The sequence below is a fragment of the Homo sapiens genome, chromosome 9 (assembly GCF_000001405.40).
Source record: "Homo sapiens chromosome 9, GRCh38.p14 Primary Assembly".
NCBI lineage: Eukaryota > Metazoa > Chordata > Mammalia > Primates > Hominidae > Homo > Homo sapiens.
The window spans coordinates 85,216,796-85,224,016 of record NC_000009.12 but is presented as its reverse complement, the minus strand read 5'-3'; the positions used below and the strand labels follow the sequence as shown (position 1 = coordinate 85,224,016).

At 42.1% G+C, this 7,221-nt stretch overlaps 1 annotated feature.

The window, feature by feature from the left end:
* Positions 1,481–1,982: an enhancer, noted in NCBI's record as "NANOG hESC enhancer chr9:87836950-87837451 (GRCh37/hg19 assembly coordinates)". NCBI's record gives its function as "activates a minimal SCP1, AML or CMV promoter by ChIP-STARR-seq in naive and primed H9 embryonic stem cells {active_cell/tissue: H9 hESC(naive and primed)}" and the evidence as "EXISTENCE:reporter gene assay evidence [ECO:0000049][PMID:30033119]".

Here is a 7,221-nt window from a genome sequence, read left to right as displayed (position 1 = left end):
AGGAAAACTGTTTATAGCAACAAGGGTTTAAGTATAAACATATACATGCCAGCTACCAACATTCTTATTGTATCTAGTTACACCTGCAGCTCAGCCTCACAAACCTCAGGGAATGTGTTTCTCTCCATTTTACCAGGCAAAATGCAAGGCTCTGGTGTTAACCACCCATCTCTCCTCACGGGGCCTTTGACAAAGCCCTCGCTGGTCCTGCTCTAATCTGATTCCTCTTCCTCTTTGTTTTTCTGGATGATTCTGTATTGGTTGAAGCAACCTACATCCCATAGTAAAATTGTGACACTGGTTGCTTCCTTCTGCTTTAGTAAATGCTAAGGTATCTTAGTCATGAGTCTGCAATGACTCAATATTCAGCCCTAAAACACAGCCTTCAGTTTTCATAGTTCTTGAATTCTATTTTGATTCCTAATTTCTCTAACCATACATCCACAAAGTGCTTGAAGGAGGACACTTCTCAGATTCAAATATTCTCTGTAAATATCTCCTGTGAATGCTATTGTGATGAAGTCTTACAAGGCTACCTGATTTTTGGTGGGAAGACGGTAACTTTTGTGCCAAGTGATTGATACCTGAGAACTGAGAACTTCCAACCCTTCTACTTTCTGGTAGTTTCTTATTGGTTCTGTCATTCTTTCTGGTTGCCCAGTGGCAATTGAAATAAACCTATGCATATCGGCTGGGCGCAGTGGCTCACGCCTGTAAACCCAGTACTTTGGGAGGCTGAGGTGGGCAGATCAATTGAGGGCAGGAGTTTGAGATGAGCCTGGCCAACATGATGAAACACTGTCTCTGCTAAAAATACAAAAATTAGCTGGGTATGGTGGCACATGCCTGTAGTCCCAGCTACTCAGGAGGCTGAAGCAGGAGAATTGCTTGAACCCGGGAGGCAGAGGTTGCAGTGAGCTGGATCGCGCCCCTGCACTCCAGCCTAGGCAACAGAGTGAGACTCTGTCCCAAAAATAAATAAATTAATTAAAAAGAAACCTATGTGTGTCACCCTGTGGGTAAGGTGGTTCTGTTTAATTATTCTATTAGGCAGAATAATGCCCCCTCAAAGCTGTCCACATCCTAATCACTAGAACCTGTGACTATGTTACTTTAAATTATCAAGCGGAGTTAGGGTTGCAGATGGAATCAAGGTTGCTAATCAGCTGACCTTACAATAGGAAGATTATTCTGGGTTACTGAGTGAGCCCCATGTAATCACAAGGGTTCCAAAAGCGGATAGAGATGGAGGAAGTGAGCTACCAGCTCAGGGATGCTGACGGTCTCTAGAAGCTTTTCCAGCTTCTAGAGAAATGGCAAGAAATGGATTCTTTCCTGGGCCTTAGGGAAGGAACACAGCCACCACCTGGATTTCAGCTGGCGAGATCCATGTTGGACTGCTAACCTACTCAACTGTAAGATCGTAAATTTACCATGTTGCCAGCTGTTAAGTGTGTGGCAATTTGTTATAGTAGCCAGAGAACACGGATACAATTGTTTTATTTCAAACTGTACTTGGGATTCCTTGGCTTTGGGCAATCTGTACTATAATTTTGTCCTTGTTGTTATTTGATAATGACTATCATTTATTGAACTTTTACCATGGGTATAGTCACTGCTCCAGGTGCCCCACAAAGAGCAATTTCTTGAACCGGTACATCAAGGCTATCAGTACCATCAACATCCCTGTTTTACATGAGAAAACCAAGACTCAGAGAGTGAAGTCACACACAGCTTGATGGTGGTGGAATTACGATTCCACACAAGCTGATTTCAAAAGCCCATCAGGTCCTCCTGACTTCTGTGATAGACTGTTCCTTGCTTTACCAAGTAGAAAGGATGCCCATTTTGCAGATGAGAAAGTTAGAGCCCTGATGAGGTAGTGGTAAAGCCAGAGCGTTTGGTTCCCAGGGTCGGGGTTTTTCAGTGAGTTATCTGCTGGTTGAGAAACACAAATGCTTCCAGTCTGGAGGGACACAGCTTTCTAGCTGCATGTGATAGAAAGGTTGGGATTGGGAAGCAGAGTGAGATTGGAGGAAGAAGGGCATGCAATGGCAGGATGGAAGTCCTAGGCAGCCGGTGGTGAATGGACTTGCTGTCTCTTGCTCTATGACCTATTTTATTTATTTATTTATTTATTATTTATTTATTTACTCCAACTTTTATTTTAGGTTCAAGGGGCACATGTGCAGGTTTGTGATGTGGGTAAATTGTGTGTTGCGGGGGTTTGGTGTACAGATAATATTGTCACCAGGTAATCAGTGTAATGCCTGATAGGTAATTTTTCTTTCTTTCTTTTCTTTTTCTTTTTTTTTTTTTTTTGAGATAGAGTTTCGCTGTTGTCGCCCAGGCTGGAGTGCAGTGGCACCATGTCTGCTCACTGCAACCTCTGCCTCCTGGGTTCAAGTGATTCTCCTGCCTCAGCCTCCCAAGCAGATGGAATTACAGGCACTCGCCACCACGCCTGGCTAATTTTTTGTGTTTTTAGTAGAGATGGGGTTTCGCCATGTTGGGCAGGCTGGTCTTAAACTACTGACCTCAGGTGATCTGCCTGCCTCAGCCTCTCAAAGTGCTGGGATTGCAGGTGTGAGCTGCACCCAGCTGATAGGTAGTTTTTCAATCCTCATCTTCCTCCCACCCTCCACCCTCAAGTAGGCGCCCGTATCTTTTCCCTTTTCTGTGTCTATGACCTACTTTTTTGAGACAGGGTCTTTCTCTATTGCCCAGGCTGGAGTGCAGTGGGGCAAACACAACCCACTGCAGCCTTGACCTCCCAGGCTTAAGTGATCCTCCAGCCTTGGTCCCCCAAATAGCTGGGACTAAAGGCATGCACTACCATGCCCAGCTAATTTTTCTATTTTTTTGTAAAGACAGGGTTTCACTATGTTGCCCCCTGGTCTCGAACTCCTAGGCTCAAGTGATCTGCCTGCCTTGGCCTCCCAAAGTGCTGGGATTTCGGGCGTGAGCCACTGTGCCTGGCTTCTATGACCTATTTTAATAAGAGCAATGTATTTTATCTCCTGAAGCCAAAAGTATGGCTCAATATGGGGGGAGCGTGTACAGTTTGCCAAAAACTGTCATGAACATGGGATAAAAGCAGAAAGACAGCCCTGAAGCTTAGTTCCCACAACCATGGTTCCCTTACTCTTCTGGGCTACAGACCCTTCACAGGCATGGGAACCCCTTCATCCACCTGTTTCCACTCAGCTTTCTAATTTAACAAAGAAAAACCCAACCACTGCACTGAAATCAGCAAACAAATTGTGCTGCTGTTGATGAGAAACCAGTGAGGTTCTCCTTAGCTTTAATTTAAAACTACAAAGTGAAAGCCTTCAATCATGCCTGGAAAAAAATGCAGAATCATTGTCACAAAAAGAAGAAAAAATATCTTAAATAGTTAAGGTGTCTGTTATTTAAAAGACATTTTAAAAGTATCATCTAAAAAGATTTTAAAAATGGGGATTTTTTTCAGCCCCGCATTTGGCCTTCCACCACACTTTAAGAATCTTGCGGCCGGGCACGGTGGCTCACGCCTGTAATCCCAGCACTTTGGGAGGCTGAGGTGGGCGGATCATGAGGTCAGGAGATCGAGACCATCCTGGCTAACATGGTGAAACCCCCGTCTCCACTAAAAATACAAAAAAAAAAAAAAATTAGCCGGGCATGGTGGTGGGCACCTGTAGCCCCAGCTACTCGGGAGGCTGAGGCAGGAGAATGGCGTGAATCTGGGAGCGGGGCTTGCAGTGAGCTGAGAGGTGCCACTGCATTCCAGCCTGGGCAACAGAGCGAGACTCCATCTCAAAAAGCAAAACAAAACAAAACAAAACAAAAAAACCTTGCCGTAGGACATCTGGACACCACCAATTTGTGAAATGAATATGTGGAAGTATGAAAATATGTACTCCATTGTCCCAGGTCATTTAACATTTATTTGTTAGCATGCTGAGCTTTTTTTTTTTTTTTCCTCTTTAGTCATTCCAAGCTTTAGTATTGTCCAAACAAATTAAAATTCATCTCAATAATTTAGATAAATGTGGGTCTCTTCAATGGACCTATGTATATATTGCATAAAAAATGAGACCATTAAAAGACTCCTCTGGCAGCTTAATACAGAAACACAAATATGCACTATAATAATAATATTAATAATATATTGTTTTATGCACCTTTTATTCCAAAGGGTTTCAAAGAGCTGTATCAACTTTACAAATAATGTTTGTGTATACAAGTAATGCATGTATGCATTAACCTTCTAGGTAGTTCCTAATATTATTTGTTCTCCCCCAACCCCCAATTTGGGCCTTAATGTCTTTATGGGTATTCTCCATGTTTATCTGTTGCCTGTCTTCTCCTCTTACCATTTAAGCACCGGGGCCACCAAACTCTTTTGTCTGTGCACTTCCATCAACAAAAAGGGGTGAAAACTGTACCTTTACTATGTGTGTTTGTGTGTGTCTGTGTATGTTACATAAAAATTATTCTTCCATACCGTGGTACTAATATATTGTGTGTGTTGTAAAACATACCTAGAAATGTATAACATTGATTATGCAAAGTTGAAATACAAAACATTTTGCAATATTTCTGATGGCTTCTCATCTTCATTAACTAATCTCTCAAGCCACAGTAAATACCTAGAGAAAAATTTACTGTGAATGATACTGGAGGTAAATAAAATAATGTTCTTGATAATTTCATCATTGTTTTTTAGCCAACCTAAAATTTTTTAAACCTTTCATTTTGAAAAACTTTAAATACACACAAAAGAAGAAAAACTAGTATAATGAAACCCCATGTTTTATCATTCACCTTCAACATTATCTATACTTTTAATCATCGTAATTAGATCATTATTATTTTTATCTGGTAATGTGTCTAATAAAGAGTTCCTAGTAGAAGTGAGGTCTCAGCTCTGCCATTTTCTTTTTGCTCCAAGATTTCGTGGAAGGCATCCTTTTTCTGTTCTTTTCTTTTCTTTTTTTTTTTTTTGAGACAGAATCTTGCTCTGTCGCCCAGTTGCCCAGGCTGGAGTGCAGTGGCACAGTCTCGGCTCACTGCAACCTCCGCTGCCCAATTTCAAGTGATTCTCCTGCCTCAGCCTTCTGAGTAGCTGGGATTATAGACATGCACCACCATGCCTAGCTAATTTTTGTATTTTCAGTAGAGACAGGGTTTCGCCATGTTGGCCAGGCTGATCTCAAACTCCTGACCTCAAGTGATCTGTCTGCCTCCCAAAGTGCTGGGATTATAGGCATGAGCCACCGCACCCAGCCAAGAAGACATCTTTTAAGATACTCTTTGTATTAGTCAGTTCGGGATGCCATAATAAAATACCATAGAGTGGCAGGGTTTAAATAACAGAAATTTATTTCCCATGGTTCTGGAGGCTAGAAGACTAAGATCAGGGTGCCAGCGTGGATAGACTCTGGAGAGGGCCCTCTTCCTGGCTTGTAGATGGCTTCCTTCTCACTGTGTGCTTGCCTGGTTCTTGTTTAGTTCATGCATGGAGATAGGGAGACTGTGAGCCCTCTGGTGTCTCTTCTCACAGAAGCCCTAATTTCATCAGACTAGGCCTCACCCTTATGACTTTGTCTAACCCTAATTACCTTGCCAGGGTCCCATCTCTAAATACCATCATCACATTGGAGATTAGGGCTTCAACATATGAATTTTGGGGTGACTCAGAATTCATATAGATTCAGTCCATAGCACTGGTATAATTTTTGAGAGTTAGTTTATGTAACACTAGAGAAATGAGTGTCAGAGAAATTATACATTCTCTTTGCTGGCACACTTAACGACAATAAGTTACAACATGTTGAAAATGAGCAAATGAGGGAAGGAACCACCACAGCAAACTCCCCAGTTTTCCCTCAGATGCCTGTAATCCTAGACATGCTCTGAGATACACGATCTGCATGAGGCCATCTGTGTCACTGAGTCAGTGAAATATTAAGATAGTCTTTCGTTCTTATTTTTTTAAGAGAAAAATATAGACCACCAGAAGTTTTAGTATTTCCTTTCTGTAACTCTCATATACCATTCTTTTAAGTAACCACATTTCAATAAATTTGTGAAGACCAACCTCTTGTTGGCTGCCAGGTCTTTTGGATAGTATCTGTCTTGGTCAGGTAAACACAGAATTAAAGCATATTGGCTTTGTCTAATTTATGAAAAATATATAACCTTTGTTTCACTTGAAATAAAATGACCATAGTGTTTGGTCTTCTGCCCGTAGAACTGAGCCATATAAAAGGTCTGCATTACATCTGTCTGAGCATATGTAACATCTTGCATGAACTGCAATGTTCATTCAACTCTTATTCATTCACTTATTGAGCATGTGCTGTGTGCCCTGCACTGTTCTTGATGCTTGGGTAATATCAATGAATTACACATAGAACACATATTCTAGTGGAGGGAGGTAGAAAAATGCATAGATCTGTAAATTATGTGGAATATTAGAAAAGGTAAGTGCTATGAAAGAGTAAAAGCAGGCTAAGGAGGAGTGGGGGTGGGGTGGGAGTGGGGCTGAGTTGCAATTTTAATTACAGTAGTCAGGGTAGGTCTCATTGTGAAGGTGAGCTTTGAGCAAATATTTGAAAGATGAGACATTTGGTTATAGGGCTAGATTGTTCTGATCAGAGGGAGCAACTCTTGCAAAGGCCTAAGGAAGGAGTGTACATGGTGTATGTGACCATTAACTTGGGGGCCAGAGTATATGGAGGGTGGGGAGAGAGACACAGAGAGAGTCAGAAAAGTAGCAGGGACCTAGCCTGTGGCCTTCCATGTCATTGTAAGACTTTGGCTTTTACTTGGAGGAAAATGGGGAGCTATTGCAGGCTTTTGAGGGGAGGAGGCATATGATCTGACTTATGCTTTAACAGGATCAGTCTGGTTCCCACGTTGAGACTCAAGAAAGGACAGAAGAGTTCACAGGAAGACTAGGTAGGAGCCCATAACAGGAATCCAGGTGAGAGATGATGGTGGCTCAGACCTAGGTGGGAGCCATGTGTTGTGAGAAGGGGTGAGATTTTGGATATATATCGAAGGTAGAGAATGCTGTTCTTTGATGAATTAGATGAGAAAAATGAGTTAGGAATAACTCCAAGGTTTTTGGCCCGAGTCACTGGAAAGATGGAGTTTGCATCATTTGAGATGGAAAGGTTGCAGTTGGAATGGGTTTTGTGGGGAAGAGCCAAAGTTCAGGTTTGGACATGC